General features: G+C 46.3%; 1 protein-coding gene across 6 annotated transcripts in view, besides 1 other annotated feature; it reads left to right on the forward strand.

Annotated features, from left to right (window-relative positions):
• Positions 3,926–17,333, forward strand: part of ZNF862 (zinc finger protein 862) — a 29,105-nt gene continuing 15,697 nt past the window's right edge. The window contains exons 1-6 of one of the 6 annotated variants that reach the window (XM_006716085.4): positions 6,119–6,158; positions 7,067–7,262; positions 10,176–10,287; positions 11,702–11,806; positions 13,286–13,983; positions 15,712–15,889. In XM_006716085.4, the coding sequence (XP_006716148.1) occupies positions 7,197–7,262; positions 10,176–10,287; positions 11,702–11,806; positions 13,286–13,983; positions 15,712–15,889 (1,159 nt within the window). In that variant the 5' untranslated portion in view covers positions 6,119–6,158; positions 7,067–7,196. Of the gene's footprint in view, positions 9,446–10,175; positions 10,288–11,701; positions 11,807–13,285; positions 13,984–15,711; positions 15,890–17,333 lie in introns of all 6 variants that reach the window. The other 5 variants (XM_011516464.2, XM_017012519.2, NM_001099220.3 and 2 more) reach the window with 5 other exon arrangements.
• Positions 4,002–4,461: a silencer, noted in NCBI's record as "silent region_18769". NCBI's record gives its function as "represses an Ori minimal core promoter by ATAC-STARR-seq in GM12878 lymphoblastoid cells {active_cell/tissue: GM12878}" and the evidence as "EXISTENCE:reporter gene assay evidence [ECO:0000049][PMID:35858748]".

Here is a 17,333-nt window from a genome sequence, read left to right on the forward strand (position 1 = left end):
TAAGTACTGGGGACAAAAATTAAAAGAGGCCCACTGTGCTGCAAAAGACTAGCTCATCCTGTTCCATGTCTCCATGGTCTCCATTCCTCCTCAGGAGACCAAGCCTCCCCGTTTGTCCCTCAACATCACCACCTCTCATGCCATCCTCTTGTAAATCCCACAGTCTCACCTGATCCCCCACACCGCCTCTCCCTCCCAGATACCCACTGGGGCCTCTGAGACTCCACATCTGTCTTCCGTAGACTCTGCTCCATCGTCCCCATCTCCAAAGGCTTCTTCCACCTTCATGTCATGACTGACACTAGCTCGCCCATGCCTTGAAGGCTTCACTTCACCTGGAAGCTGAGACGTCATCCCACCTCCAGGCCAGGAAAAGAGATACTTGTCTTCTGTGACGTTCATGTTTATTGTTTCTGTTGGGCCAGTTCTCCCTGTTCCTCCTGCAAAGAGCCGTCTTCCCGGGTTGTCTGAGCCACTCTGTAGTGACACCACCCTCCCTGACTCCCACCTGCCACCCTGGTCACTCCCTATCATCCACAGAAGAATTTAACTCATGGCCCAGCATTGCTTTCCACCCATTTTCAGTGTCCATGTGGATACTCCACTCAAAATTCTGGCCTCACATTCTTTGCCTGCTCACTTACAATGACCTTCTTCACTCTGTCTTGGGAATCCACTCCCACGACTAGACCATTTTCAAAACCTCGCAAATATTTACTTACCAATCATGACTTCCCATCCCTCCAGCTGACTTGCTCTAATACTCCACTGCTATAATTTATGGCTGCTTTTGTGATTTCAATTTCATTGACCCACCACTTTCTCACTTTTTTATTAGTTTCCTATCTTCCCTCGTGACACAGCTTAGATTCATGGTCTATATAGTGATTCTCAACACCAACTGCACGTGAGAAGCACATGACATGAGGAGCTCTTAAAAAATATCAATGCCAGCTGGGCATGGTGGCTCATGCCTATAATCCCAGCACTTTGGGAGGCGGGTTGATCACTTGAGCCTGGAAGTTTGAGATCAGCCTGGGCAACATAGTGAGAACCCATCTCTACAAAAAGTAAAAAAACAGCTAGCCAGGCGTGATGGCACACTCCTGTAGTCCTAGCTACTCGGAAGGGTGAGGTGGGAGGATACCTTAAGCCCAGGAGGTCAAGACTGCAGTCAGCCAAGATCACGCAACTGCCCTCCAGTCTGGGTGACAGAGTGAGACCCTGTCTCTTAAAAAACAAAAACAAACAAAAAAATTAAACAAATTAAAAAAATCAGTGCCCATGCCCCATCCTAGGCCTATTAAATCAGGATGTTTGAAAGGTCCATGGGTGATTCCAATGTGCAGCTGGAATTGAGAATCACTTTCCTACCATCATAATTACTCCTGCAAGTACTGTTCATTCCCTTGCTTTTCTGTGCCTCCTTCATACCTACCTGGCAATACTCCAAGCCAGGATGAAGCCAAATATCTACCCAACTTTCTGCTTCTAAACAGAATTTCGCAGCCAGGCTTTTTTTAAACTGAAATTTGTGATCATAAACTTCAAATTGGCCTTTAATTCAAGGTTTGAGGTAAGCTCTATTTCCCATTCTCCAAGATGACTTGGTATACCTTCTATTCCCCACTTCATTTTCATGAGATGATCTTGTCTCAAAGAGACATCATCGGATGGAAATTCCCTCAGTAAATCTACAAACAAATGTACATCTACTCCATCTTCTTCTTCCCTCCTGGCATAACCAAAAGTGTTGCTATCCCGGCCAGACGCGGTGGTTCAGGCTTGTAATCCCAGCACTTTGGGAGGCCAATGCAGGTGAATCACTTGAGGTCAGGAGTTCGAGACCAGCCTGGCCAACATGGTGAAATCCTGTCTCTACTAAAAATACAAAAATTAGCAGGGTGTGATGGTGCACGCCTGTAGTCCCAGCTACTCAGGAGGCTGACACAGGGGAATTGTTTGAACCTGGGAGGTGGAGGTTGCAGTGAGCCAAGATTGAGCCACTGCACTCCAGCCTGGGTGACAGAGAGAGACTCCATCTCAAAAAAAAAAAAAAAAAAAAAAGTGTTCCTATCCCTAGGAAGGGCCCTCGATACCCTGTTCCTAGACCCTCCTGATTTCTCAAGGACTTGGTTCCTTGCACTATCCCCCTTTGAATCATCAGTTTCCTTCCCATCAACACAGAAACAAGATCTTGTGACTCATATCTTAGTCCTACTGCTTTGATTCCCCATTTCCCCCTAGATACTGCTCCATTTTTCTTGGAAAGATGGAAAACCTTTTATGGAAAAATGTGTCAAAAGAATGATTTACCCTAGCTGTCCTCCAGTTTTTTAACCCCTAAAAGAGAATCTGTTATAAAGACATGGATAACTCATGGGCAGAAATATAGCTCTTCAAGGTAGTGATATAGTCGAGGTGGTGAGTGGCAGGCCACTTGGAATCCACAGAGTCCTCACTCTCTGCCTTCTCCTCCACATTTCTTGTGTCTCATTCTTTTTTTCAGTAATGCAGACTCCCCTACACTCCTCGAACGGAATTTAGGTCTATTCAACCTTGGCCAGAAGAGCAGAGCTGGATAATGGAAAACGCTTACTTGAAGCCTGTGTAACATGGTGAAACCCTGTCTCTACTAAAAATACAAAAAAATTAGTTGACCATTGTCTTAATCTCTATGTGCTTCTGTAACAAAATCCCTGGAACTAGGTAATTTATAAATTATGGATACTTATTTCTTATGATTCTGGAGGCTGGGAAATCCAAGATCAAAGCACCAGCAGTGTCTGTGTCTGGTGAGAGCCTGGTCTCTGCTTCCAGGAGGGCACCTTTTTGCTCTGTCCTCACATGGCAGAAGGCAGAGGGGCAGAAGGGCAAAGGGCCTAGCTAGTTCCCCCAGCACGCATGTGGTCACTAACACCTTCATGAAGGCACATCCCTGCCCTGGCCCCCTAAAAGTCTTTTTTTTTTTTGAGACATGGTCTTGCTCTGTCACCCAGGCTGGAGTGCAGAAGCGCCATCCCGGCTTACTGCAGCCTCGACCACCCAGGCTCAAGTGATCCTTCCACCTCACAAAATTATTTTATTTTTATAGAGATGGGATCTCTCACTGTGTTGCACAGGCTGGTCTCAAACTACTGGGCTCAAGTGATCCTCCTGTCTCAGCCTCCCAAAGAGTTGGGATTAGAGGTGTGAGCCACCGCACTTGGACAAAACTTCTTATAAGGACACTAATCCCACCATAAGGGCCTGACCCTCACGACTTCATCTAAACCTCCCAAACGCCCCATCTCCTGGGAGGGGAACACCGGTCAGTCCATTGCACCTCCTTTACCTGGCAGACCCTACCTCTTGCTTTAATTCTGCTGAGGCATCACTTCCGCAGGAAATCCTTGACTAAGCACCTCATATCCCCCACCGCTTCACTCTAAGGTGACAACGCGGGCTTTAATTCATGTTTTGTGCTTACCTCTTTCATAGCCCTTGTCTCTGTTTTGTAATTATCTGTTTCTGGTCTGATTCCCTAATAGATCGTGAGTTCCTTGAAGGCAAGGCCTTTGTCTCATTCAACTGTGTTCTCCCAAACCCTAGAACACGGCCTGACCCATGGTAGGCAACCAATGATACTTTTTGAGTGAATAGAACAAAAAGTATTGCCCTCCTTAATAAAAGAAAACCTAGAACTTCAAGGCTGACATTGGCCTTCGCGTAGCCCAATCAGAGCGCTTTGCCCTTGCTGCAGAGGACTAAAGGACGCCACGCCGCCGTTGCCTAGTAACTGTCGCCGGAGGGAGGCGGGGAGGGTCGCAAGCGCGCCGCCGGCGTCCAATCAGGACCTGCGTTCCGGGAGCCAATAGCAGCTTCGAGAGCCGCTCACCTAGAGCGGACTACACTTCCCGTCACGCCCCGCCGCCTGGGGCTGGGCAGTGACCGTAAAGCTGTTCGCTCGGTGCGACGCAAGTCTCAGCTCAGCGCGCTTATCCTGGGTCCACCGGCGCTACCGCCCCCCGACGTGAGAGAGCGAAGTTCTTGGGCCGCGCTCCCTCCCTACCTGGGTGCCCTCCCCCTCCGGGAGCCTGGGTCCCCGGGGCGGTCGCGGCGGCTGCATCCTCAGGCCAGGCCGCGGGGGGAGGGGGCGGCACGGGCCTCCGAAAGCGGGGCCATGGAGCCCAGAGAGTCGGGGAAGGTAGGACTGGAAGGCCCGGGGGCCGCCCGCTCCCTCCCGAGGATCCCCGAGCCGGGCTCGGGCGAGGCGGGGCGGCTCGGGCGGAGGCCCCGCAGATGAGCCAGGCTTGCAGGGAAGGACTCGCCGGCCCGCCCTCTCTTCCCGCACTTCGGCGCCCGACCCCGGGAGGGTGGCGGAGAGGAGCGGACGCTTCCGTTCGGTGTCCGCGCATCCTCCCCGAGCTGCCGAGCGTCCGCTGGGTCGATGCTGGGTTGGGTGACCCCCGAGTGGAGCGATGCGAAGGTGCTTCCTGTTTTCCCCACCACCTTCGGCGTTTTGAAGAGGCCCTGCTAAGGCTTGGAGTCTGGATCGGACGCCAGTGGGAGCTGCAGGGTGGGACGCTTGAGGGCTTGACCCTGCCTAGATCCTCCTTACCAAGAAAGGGCTGAAAAGAGAGGGCATCTGGCATGCTTTTTGCCACTTCTGTTTCTAGGTTATGTACTTCATGGAATATCTGGGCATTGCTTAGAAACCTGTGTCATAAATTGGCTTTGGGCAAGAGGCTTTGAGTTGGAAGAAAAGGTGGAAAGAAAGTGCTTGGGGGCGGAGTTCAGGGATTTGACGGGATTGCCAGCGCTTCCAGGCCGTGTCATCCAAGACCAGTGTGGTTGTGGGCACATTAGCTTGGAGACAGTGGCAGCCTCTTGGGACTAACATCTTTCTGGATGTTGTTTGCTGCCAGTTCTTGAGTATTGTTTCTTATTTGGCACAGAGGAGAATTCTCTCAACAAACGTTTTCGACTGTTTATTGAGTCCCTTAAAAAACTGTCCATTTAATAAACATTTGTGATCTGTGATTTGCATTGAACGAGATGCTGGAAGTATGAGGATAAATAGGAAATGATCACCTTTCTCAAGGAGCTCTCCTGCAGTTTTCACTTCAATAACTTGGACACGCCTGAAAGGGTTGTCCCACACGAAAAGAGAGAAAAGGATAATGAGGTTCTTTTGATGCTGTAGTTTTTCCTGGGAAGACTAGGAAGGACTCTGAATTTCAAAAGAGGTGATTTCTCGCATGAGCATCTCTTCCATCCTCCCTCCCTCCACAAGCTACAGTGATGCATGTAGCAGACACGGCACCTACAGAGTACGTGGTCCAAGCCAATAAAGCTCAACAAAACCCAAGCAAAGATGGAGCTTATGGCCCTTACCCTTTGGAAATATCCCCAGATTGGTTTAGATTGAACCTGAATTTGAATAAAGAGAAGCAAAATGTAGGGGGAAGAAGGATTATAAAATATTGGGATTGATATTGGTATCAGTGATTTGAAGTTGATTTCCAAGCTATTCTGTTCAGTCAGAGGCTTTCTTAGCCTTTAACGGGAGAAGAGAAATACGGTCATGCGCTGTATAACAAGGTTTCCATCAACACCGCTCTCACGTACAATCCCCTGAGACTACAGTGGGGCTGAGAAATTCCTATCACCTGGTGACATCTTCATGATCCTGACCCTGTGTAGGCTTAGGCTAATGTGTGTGTTTGTGTCTTAGGTTTTAAGAAAGCTTAAAAAGTAAAAAAAAAAAAAAAAAAAAAAAAAAAAAAAATTTAAAAATACAAAACCTCATAGAATTAGAATATAAAGAAAAATACTTTTTGTTGATGGAATGGTTTGCTGGAAAATAAAAATACAAAAATATTTAAAGAAAAATATTGTACAGGTGTACAATGTGTGTTAAGCTAAGTGTTATTACAAAAGAGTCAAAAGTTTAAAAAATTAAGTTTATAAAGTAAAACAGTTACAATAAGCTAGGGTTAATTTATTATTGAAGAAAGAAAAATTTTTGATAAATTCGGCGTAGCCTTAGTGTGCAGTGTTTATAAAGTCTACAGAAGTGTTCAGTCATGTCCTAGGCCTTCACATTCTCTCACCACTCACTCACTCACTCACTCACTCACCCAGAGCAACTTCCAGTCCTGCAAGCTCCATTCATGGTAAGTGCCCAATACAGATGGACCTTTTTTTTTTTTTTGTCTTTTCTACCATATTCTTACTGTACCTTTTCTATGTTTAGATACGCAAATACTTACCATGTGTTACAGTGGCCTACAGTTTTCAGTACAGTAACATACTGTGTAGGATTGTAGCCTAGGGGGCAAAAGGCTATATACCATATAGCCTAGATATGTAGTAGGCTGTACCATGTAGTTTTGTATAAGTACACTCTGTGATGTTCCACAATGACAGAACTGCCTAAGGACACATTTCCTAGAACTTATCCCTGTTGTTAAGCAACACATGACTGTACAAACATTTTGGGAGGTAGAGGAGAAACCTGATTCCGTGTCCTGTCCAACCACTAAGTGAAACCTCAGAGACTGGAAATTTCACCCTTGATTATAATCTTGATTTTAGGGTATCTCAGAAAGGTGCTCACCCTTCCCAAAGATAGTTGTTTTCTAATATGGGAAATGAGAACTTCATACAAGAATGAAATAAAGTAATTACAAAACCAACTGTCAGTGTAAGATGTGTTGCAAATGAGTGACAAGGAATAGCGGTGCTGTTCTACAACTCCACTCCGAACAGCATTCTTATGGCTCAGAACTGGGAGACTACCTCGTGAGATAGTGGTTTGGTCTATTACTAGACTCTTCCTTGGGTGCTGTTTTGTGGTCTTTATTAACTGACAGCCATCTTGGGCCATTGGATTGATATCCCACATTGAATGTAGGACATCTTGCCTGTCATTGACAGAATAATGGATAAGGGTCAGACTTTTCCCCATCATGTTCTATCCCATGATCCTGTTTTATTTTCTTCCTAACCCTTATCACTAAATAAAATTCTCATGTTCATTTATTTATTTACGTATTTGTTGACTTGACTCTTACATCCCCAGCTAGAACAGTGGAGCAGTTCCTGGCATTTAATAGGGTCTCAGGAAGGAATGCTCATAAAATAGCATCACTACAGGAGCCCTTTTGCTGCAAGGTGTGGGTGCTCTGAAGAACACTGCAGCCCGCCACCTCATGTGCCTCCTAGGAGACTGTGCTGTTGGTGCCCCGAAAGAGAAGTCTATATGTGTACTTGTTGCTGTATGTATTTGTTGCCTCAACGTTTCTGTTTCTTGGCCCTCTCTATCTTTCCTGTACAAGTGACTGATACTCCTTTCTCATTTTTTTCTGAACATGGTTCTATTATTGCACTTATATCTTAGTTGTCTGCCACCTCCTGATAGATTTTAATCTCATATCTTTGAATTACCATGCATCAAGCACATAGAAACACTTAAGTAATAAATGTGTGTTGAATGAAAAAATGAATTAAATGCCTATAAAATACTTTCCATATAGCATGGTTGTGGGGGGAAGGGTGGTGTTGATGAAGGAAGTTATAAAATCAAGCAGCATAGATTTCCTTAACACTGGACTCCAGGGGGGATATAAAGCCTTCCTTGCTCAGGAGAAGGATAAATGCTTGGGCCAGGTGGTTAGGAAATCCTTCCTGAAAGAGAACGTGAATCGCGACTTTATGGGTGGGTAGATTCTAAGTTGGTGGGAGGAAGTGTGCAGTCAGGATCTAAAGACTGGGAATGTAGAGAGAGGAAAGGTGCGAGATAGGCTGGGTGATTAAAATGATATGAATCTGGCTGGAGGAGACATTCCAAGCGAGGCAATGCACAGAGCTAAAGTTAGAAAGTGGGTTAGATTCAGACTGAGGGGACTTTGGTGCTAGACTGAGAAGTCAGACAGCTTTACCTTGTAGAGAGTGACTGGGAACCGCTAAAATAGAACATCGAGAGAGATTCTTTGCATTACACATAGGTGAGGAGCTCCTCTTATTCACGCAGATTTGTGTTTTCTTTACATTGCAGTCACCTGGAATCAGAAGGCTCTTGCTATAATATTGCTTAAGAGAGATACCAGGTGTTAGTGTTATCACTCTTGTTAGGAAGACACTATTATCCAAATGGACAGTCCTAGCCATGTTCCTCCTCAGGTGGAGCTAACGTGATGGGCTCCTTGGCCCTTATGCTCACCTGTGCATGCCCGGGAAGGATGGGCATGAAGAGGGATCCTGGCTGTCCTGAATCACAAGTGTTTTAACCTGCCCCAATCTGGACAGGCTGCCCTCCCGTCCTGGGATACAGCAGTCATCCTGAATCTGCCTTCAGCCTAATCTTGGGGTTGTCTTCAATGCTTCCCCACGTTGGCTGTCCCTAGGTTGTATCTCATGGTGACTCCTGTTTGACCACTTTCTTTGAGTGGAGCTTGTCTTCCAATCGGTTTTTGGAAATATTTCATTTTGCTTTGGAAGCCACTCGAGCAAACAGTTATTTAAATGTACACATTTGGCAGTACAATTCCATTTTTGTTTTTAAAACTGTTCATACATATTCATAGACTAAAGACTGGGAGGTTATATACCAAATGTTAACAGATTCTCAGGAAAGAAGGGTAATGAAAAGTAATTATTTTTCAATAAAGGGAATGTAGGTGATCTTAATACATTTTTTTCTGCTTATTTCTATTGTCCAAATTTTCTGCAGTCAACATGAGAAAAATCTATTATAATAGTGACCGGTAAGAATGATTGATATCATTTTCCTCAAGAAATGTCTACTGTTGAGGTTAAAATCGATATTCCACCTATTTTAAATGGCATGCTGTTATTTCCCAATGTTATTTTTCTTTGGAGTGAGAAGTTTGTTTTTTGTTGATAATTTGATTTATTTCTTTTTAAAATTTCTTTAACTAGGTAATGTTTTCATGGCACAAAACTTAAAATGATAAACATTTCTACTTCTTTTTCTGTTGATTTCTTTTATAACACTTTGTTGCGTGGCTGTGGTACCTTAAACCTCTTTGATGGTGTAGCTTGATGATAGTTTTTTTTAAGTTTTTTTCTCCATGCCTTCCCTCCATTTTCTTAGCAACCTGCCCCCCAAACCCCAACACCTCCCATCTATTTTGGTCTCTATAGTCCCTGTTAGATCCTTTCCCCGAGTGTCTGGTAGTCCAGTCTGCTGACATTTAGTGGTGGAAGACCGAAAATGTAATAGCTCTGTGCTTGTGCGAGGGAGGACGGGCTTATCAGCTGGAGCCTCATGTAAAGGAACCTGGGGAGGCATTTGTTGGGGCACAGCCCTCCCCTAGTTCTTGTTCCATTGGGCTGCCTGCCCGCCCTCCCATGCTGGAGGTTTCCGGTGCTGGAAGATGCCAAGCCTTTGAGGATGCAGAGTGTACCTTGGGTGGTTCTCCGCTTTGCCCGCTGCCGGGTGAGGGTTTGATTTTCTTGGATCTGCTGAAGTGACTGCTTTTGCATCTGCTTCTTGGTTTTCAAGAGTGTATTGCTGTCATCTCCTTGTTGCGCCCCCTATTATAGTGGGGGTTTTGTTTTGGGGAGGGGGTCTTTTAAATTCACGGGGAATAAACAAAATTAAATGGGCTTGTTTAATCTGCCATCTTAATCTGGAACTCCTCCAAACACTTTCTGAACTCCCTACCCCTCAGAGCCCCTTTACAAGCCACACGGGATGTAGATCTCAGCCCCAAAGCATTGCCTGTTTTCATCATCGACTTCATTCACAGACATAGTTCTAAATGACTTTCAGCTATTTCTAGAAATTAGACACATCTTCCTAAGCGAAGGTTTACCATGTTTAAGGTTCCATGAAAGAATGTGCCCTAAGTTGTTGCCCAGCCCCTGGCTGAGAAGAAACGGGCGTGTGGGAGGCGGGTGAAGAGCACACAGGGAGGGGACGGAGAAGCTCCTGAGCCAGCCTCCTTCATGGCTCAGTTTCATTTCAGTGCGTGGCACTTCCCAGAAGAAACGAGTCTCGTTGTCACTGTGATCTGTACCCAGGTGGGGAGAGATGGGGTGTGGGCCATGCATGTAAATTGACAACACCCCTCCCCGTGTAGGGTGCCCTCAGGTGGTCAGGAACACTTTTGGAAGATAAATCTAAGGAAGAGAGTGGTACTTAGCAGCTGTCATTTTCCTTTCAGGCTCCTGTGACGTTTGATGACATCACTGTGTACTTACTCCAGGAGGAATGGGTGCTGCTGAGCCAGCAACAGAAGGAGCTCTGTGGTTCCAACAAGCTGGTGGCACCACTGGGTATGGGTGCCCATCCACATCCCTGCCACTGTCAATTTAGATCGGCATTCCCAACCTCATCTGCGTCAGGAACACTGGAGAGAGTTTTCTGGAATCCAAGCATTTGTCTAGGCATCTTTACTCCACCTGTCTGCTCGATCCCGTATCTACCTTAATTGCATGCAAATTCACACATCACCCTTTCTCTTCTCCCCTTAAAATGGTCAAGAGAAGTGGGGCAATCTGGCAGGCCTGGGCTAGACTCCTGGGTCTGTCTCCTGGTGCCTCAGAATGCCCCAAGGGGCCGGGAGGGAAACTCGGAAACTAGGCCTGTGGATCTGTGGAGCCCGTAGGACACTGGAGGTAGGAAGCAGTGGTGGCAAGAGCATCACATTTGTGATGTGGAAATCTGGTCTCAATCCCAGCTCTCCACTGGATACTTGAATGCCCTTGGCCTTTTTAAGCCTGAATTTCCATCGTCTTAGAGATGAGTGAGATAAAACAGTTTAAGAGTTTGCACAAGTGTAGGTATTTTCATCTCATCTATTTTTGAATGCTCTTTCCTTTGATTCTTTGGGTAGACTTTCTGTGCGAAGGACAGAGGTGGTTGGTTGTATTTCAACATGTGTGTACACATATGCACTGTTTGCTGATTGCAAGTTGATGACTGTCTACCATGCCTGTCTTTTCTTATTTCATCTTGGCCCCTGTGTAAGGCACGGTAGAAGCAACAATCAGCATTTTATGGGTGGAAGGATTGCAGCTGGGGTGAGTCTTCCTGTGCCGGCTAAAAGAGTTTGAAAACCACTGATTCTTCCAAACAAGAAGTTGCAAAATAGCAGCTCATGGGCCAGATATGGCTCACTGCTTGGAGTTTTGTTTTGCTTTGTTTTTTGGCTTTCATTTCTTTTGTTTGGCTTCTTAAAAATATTAAGTAAATTGCCAATATTTAGTTATTAGGAGTTTTCACATAAGAATATGGATTTCTGGCATCTCTTGACAAACGGGATGGTGTGGCAGGGCTGAGCCTGCATCCTGAGTGGCAGCCCTTCTGCAGCTGAGTAGCTGCTGTTCCCTTACGTCTTGCAGGTTGCCACAGCCCCTGCACTTGGCCTGGTTTCTTCTGTTATATTACCAGGCTGGCCCCTCTCAGTATTTGGGTTTCTGACCCATAGTTTGTATACCTGTTTAGCCTCCTTGTGCCCTCATTCCTTTCTCCTAGTCTCCTATTCTATTAGGGGCCTCACAGATAAGAGTTTCTAAACCACTGAACCACTGTGCTGAACCACCAAGACTCCTACTTTCCTCCTTGGCCCCTTATCTCACCATGCCGAGAGATGTCGCAGACAGATACCTCCTTCGTGTTGTGACCCGGAGCCAGGTCTTCATAGTGCTTTTCTCTCTCTCTCGCTCTCTTTTTTTTTTTTGGACTCAGGACCAACTGTTGCCAATCCTGAGCTGTTCCGCAAGTTCGGACGAGGGCCAGAGCCATGGCTTGGCAGCGTCCAGGGCCAGAGGAGCCTTCTGGAGCATCACCCAGGTGAGTGTGGAACTGCACTCAGGGGCAGATGCTTGGCTGGAGAGGGAGCATGGGCAGCCCCAGGACTCCAGGCTCATCCTCTGCCCTTCCTGTTCTCCACCAACTGACACTGCTGTTCTCCTCCCAGGTGCCATCTGATTAATACCTAAATATACACACTGCCCCTAATGTCCTTCTCCAACCTCTCATCTCCCATTGTCTTATTTCTACCCAGGAGAATATGTTTATTTATAATTATTATAAGTTCCATGAAGGCATGACTTTGTCTTATTTACAACCATATTTCTAGTGCTTAGAACAATACCTGGCACCCAGCTGTTGCACAGTAGATAATCACTGAATGAATGAATGAATGAATGAACAGCTGTCTGCTAAGTTCTAGGGATTTATCTTTTCTTTCCTCTTTTGATAAGACCCTCCTGTTCAGGGGTTGGCTTAGCCAGGCCAGATGACATCTTGGCATTACGTAAAATAACTGCGTTAACCCAGCCCCTACTGTGGGAGAAGAGGGAGGTGGGGAACAAGATCCTGTATGAATCAAATCACAGAAGTTTGTTTTCCCTTGTGATTTCTCTCAGACCACAAAGAGCTCTAGACAGCTTTGTGACTCTGGAAAGTATCATAGAGACAAATTTGTTTCATTTCCCCTTGCTTGGCTCTTATTTTGAGCCTTCTGACTCTTACTAACAGCTTCATGCCCTTACAGTGTTGTAGACCAGTCTGTTGGCCTGGCACAAAAATGTTGCGTCCTCAGCCACTGGGCATTGGAACTTATGTTGGTACATAAGAAGTGGTTCCACAGGAGTTAGAGTCTTTTGAGTTGCATTTCATCTAAGTGAATAAAGAAACTTCTAGTTCAGCTTGAAGAAGAAAGATGTGAGGTCATGAGAGTCCTCATCTGTTCGAAGGTTTATGTTATAAGAGAGGAATTAGACTTGAGTTTCTCTTGAGAACTGGGTCAGCATCCAGTACTTTGAGGTAGAAGTATTCGAAGATAGATTACAGCTTAAGGAAAACTACCTGGGGACCAAAACTGCCTGCCCAGGAGATAGGTAGCTTTCTTCCCCTGGAGTTGCGGTGTGTGGCTTTAGTGATCTTTTTTAAATCCTATATTCTATTATGTCAGTGTTCTTATCCATAAATAAATTTTGACTCCTGAAGATTGTACGTTTCATAGATCAGATTGCAAAGACTTCCTTTTGGCCGGTTGTATCTGTCCTTTAAATTCAAAAAACAAAAAGGAGGGGGAGGGTTCCGTAAAGCCCATCCCTTTGGCTTTATTCTGGATAGGTGAGGGAAGGGCCTGCAGACTTGGCCAGGACTAGAAGAAAATTCAGGTGTGTGTGTGTGTGTGTGTGTGTGTGTGTGTGTGTGTGTGCTTTCCGTCTTTCATATTTGGTGTACCTCAGAGCCCCTGTGAGTTGCAGTGGCTCTAACTATAGGATTTTAAAGCCAATCCCTTCTGTCTCTTCTCTAAAGGAAAAAAACAGATGGGCTACATGGGAGAAATGGAGGTGCAAGGTCCCACCAGGGAGAGTGGACAGTCCCTCCCGCCTCAGAAGAAAGCCTACCTTTCCCACCTCAGTACAGGCAGTGGACACATCGAGGGAGACTGGGCCGGAAGAAACAGGAAACTTCTGAAGCCCCGGTCCATCCAGAAGTCGTGGTTTGTGCAGTTTCCGTGGCTGATCATGAATGAGGAGCAGACGGCTCTGTTCTGCTCTGCTTGCCGAGAATACCCCTCCATCAGGGACAAACGGTCAAGACTAATAGAAGGTTATACAGGACCATTCAAGGTGGAGACTCTCAAATACCACGCGAAGAGCAAGGCCCACATGTTCTGTGTCAATGCCTTGGCAGCGAGGGACCCCATCTGGGCAGCCCGGTTCCGGAGCATCAGAGACCCACCTGGAGATGTTCTGGCCAGCCCGGAGCCGCTCTTCACTGCAGATTGCCCCATATTCTACCCCCCAGGGCCTCTGGGAGGATTTGATAGCATGGCTGAGCTCCTGCCAAGTTCAAGAGCTGAACTAGAGGACCCTGGGGGGGATGGAGCAATTCCTGCAATGTATCTAGACTGCATTTCAGATTTGAGGCAAAAAGAAATCACTGATGGCATCCACAGCTCCTCAGACATTAATATTTTATATAATGATGCAGTAGAATCCTGCATTCAGGTAATACGTTTATAATGATTGCTGTATCTTACAGAGAAGGATTCTATACTGAGAACGATGTATATCCATGCTGATGATGGAAAAAAGAATACTAGTGATAACCCACTGCTAACATCATAATGTTGGCATATACCAACATGCTTATCATGGACTAGGCATTGTTTTAGACGCGTTCCATGTATTATCTCATTTAATTTGGACAACAACCCTATTATCATCTCCTTTTTGCAAATAACGTAATTAGTGAGATAGAACATTTCTACTTCTGGTATAAAGGAAACAATCATCTTTATTCAGAATCCAAAATAAACACAGATCTCAAGAAATAGCCTACAACCACAAAATCACAGAGCTCTTAAGTAGTCAATATTTAAATTTGTTTTGTTTAAGAGACAGGGTATGGCCCTGTCACCCAGGCTGGACTGTGGTGTGATCATAGCTCACTGCAGCCTTTACCTCCAAGGCTCAAGCAATCCTTCCCACTCAGCCTCCCAAGTAGCTGGGACCACAGGTGTGTGCCCCCACACCTGGATAATTTTTTATTTTTCGTAGAGATGGGAATCTCACTATATTGCCCAGGCTGGTCTTGAACTCCTGGACTCAACCAGTCCTCCTACCTCATCCTCCCAAAATGCTAGGATTACAGGTATGATCTACCACTCCTGGCTAGTATTTTTTAAATTTTAAGTTTGGAGTCATGTTGCACTTGTAAACATTGCAGTTTTTTCACACATGTTGTTTGATGTAATGTTTCTGATGTTGCTGTGAGGCCGGTAGAGCAGGTGCTATTAAACTCATCTTGTTGGAAGAACACAGACTTTGGAGGAAGTGACATGTCCAGGGTCCTAGAGCTCTTGTAGTCAGTGCCAGAATCTGCCCAGAGTCCTGAGCTGCCAGCCCATGCTTTCCTTCCACTCCCCGCAGCACTGCTGGGCACTAAAGTACTCTAGCGCCCACCTTAGGTTTCCTTTGTAGTTACCGAATGCTTTGGAAAGTTGTCCTGTAAGGAAACTACGTTCATTGGAAGCTTCCCCATTTCTCACCTATTGCATAGAAGTAGAATTTTACAACAAATCATTTTTAACTCCCCTCCAGGAGTCTGGTGAGAATAGCTCGGAGGTTCCTCCTAGAGCTGACATCATAAGGAATCCAGTTCAACTTCGTAAACTCTCATTTTTCCAAAATCCAGAAAAACAGCATAGCTCATTTCTTTTCCTGTTCCTGATATTTTTTAGTATTAGAAGCTAATGAACCGATGTAACCTTTTATCATCTGAATTCAGCAGTGAGGCGTGTGTAAACCAGTCACTGGTCATAAGCATCTTTAGCTTTTTTGACCACCTCTTTGTTCCCATCCCATTGGGAAATCTTAGGTGCTCCTAGAGGCACACAGTCACCTTTTAGTTGTAGGTGACCAGGAGGCAGCTCTCAGGACTCTGAGGACAGCATGCAGTGAGAGGCTCTGCCCAGCTGCCTGTTCTTTCCACACGCTTTCATTTCCGCCCAGGAGATCCTAGGATCTGACCAAGTCTCACTTGGCTTTTACCTACTAATTCTGGCCTCCTGAATTTGATTCTTTGACTTTCAGTGGATAAATTAATTCCTCTGAGTGCATCTGGGCCTCTTGGTGAGCTTCCCAGGAGAAATAGGGCTTCCAAAGGCCCCAGAAGTGTCACGTGGGAGTCTGGCTCGGCAGGCGGTGCTGAGTGGCCGCTGCTCTTTGTTCCAGGACCCTTCTGCAGAGGGGCTGTCGGAGGAGGTTCCTGTGGTGTTTGAGGAGCTGCCGGTGGTGTTCGAGGATGTGGCAGTGTATTTCACCCGGGAGGAGTGGGGCATGCTAGACAAGCGGCAGAAGGAGCTGTACAGAGACGTGATGCGGATGAACTACGAGCTGTTGGCATCCTTGGGTAAAGACGCACCGAGCCTCTTATTCACCACCCTCCTTTGACTTGGGAAGCCCACAAGGGGAGCTGTGGCTTGTGGTTATCTTCCCATTCCTGCCCCCTCCCTGTGTGTAGGCAGAGACCGATCCTGTCTTTTGCACCTCATAACTCCCCTGCTTGGGGTAACTGTGCTTTATCACCTTCTCATCCACCCACCTGTTCATCCATTCGTCCCCCACCAAACATTTTGGAGTACCTACTATGTGCCAGATGAACACAGCTGATCCATGGTCTCTGCTTTCAAGGGCCTAGCACGTTTGTGGGAGAGACAGACATTTTAATAAGAAACTATAAAATAATACAGTCTCCCATAAAAGAGCTTCCAGAAGAGTACCCGGGGCTACTGAAGAAGAGGGATTTGATTTCCTGGGCATTGGTGGGAGGAATCAGGAAGCCTTTATAGAGTAGGAAATGTTTTAATTGAGTTCAAAACCAGGTGGATCAGAAGGAGGAAGGGCATTGAGCCATGATGGAGGGGACGGCCTGGCAGAGCCACCCCTATCTGTGCAGCCCAGGGCTAAGGCTCCTGCATCCTGGCCAGGCGCCGGCAAGGGTTGGCAGCCTTCAGCACGGGAGTCATGGGGTTTGGACCTTGGCAGATTAGGAAGAGGGCAGTGCTTCTTGCTCCTCAGGATGGTGCTCTCCTCTCCTGCATCTGCTGTTTTATCTTCTCTTTGCCTCTTTCTGGCAGATTAGCAAGGTTCTTATGAAGCATCAAGATGGAAAGACAACTTTTTTTGTTGGAGACAGTCTCACTCTGTCGCCCAAGCTGGAGTGCAGTGGCGTGATCTTGGTTCACTGCAACCTCTGCCTCCCAGGCTAATTTTTGTTTTTTGAGTAGAGACGGGGTTTCACCATGTTGGCCAGGCTGGTGTCGAACTCCTGACCTCAGGTGATCCACCTGCCTTGGCCTCTCAAAGTGCTAGGATTACAGGTATGAGCCAGCACACCTGGCCAACATGTTTTTGTCATTGTTCGTAATTTTTAAATGGCTTCCCAAACATTCAGAAGTGACTAAAATTATTTATTTTGTGGTGACAGAGGTTTTGTTGTCATGCCCTAGGTTAGGTGTATCCCCTCAGAGTATCACTGCCCGTGCTGTGCTGAAGAGCAGTGAGAGTGAGGGCGAAATTCACACCTGTCTTAAAAATGCATACCCTCTGCAAAAAGTTGGGTTTTCCTTTAATGTAATCGGCACTAGCGACTCAGTTTCACTGTGAGGCCCCCGGGCGATTGTGAAGGTACCAGGCGATGGTGTTGCTGGCCCAGGGCAGCTTCTGCAGCAGTGCAGGGAGGGCTGGCCAGGATTGTTTAGCCTGTGCCTGTTTCCTCACGTTTTGTGTGTTGACAGAGCATGATCTAAACATTTTATCAGTTTCTTTTTCATTTACGTAAATTAGGCAGTAGG

The sequence above is a fragment of the Homo sapiens genome, chromosome 7 (genome assembly GCF_000001405.40).
Source record: "Homo sapiens chromosome 7, GRCh38.p14 Primary Assembly".
NCBI classification, from domain to species: Eukaryota; Metazoa; Chordata; class Mammalia; order Primates; family Hominidae; genus Homo; species Homo sapiens.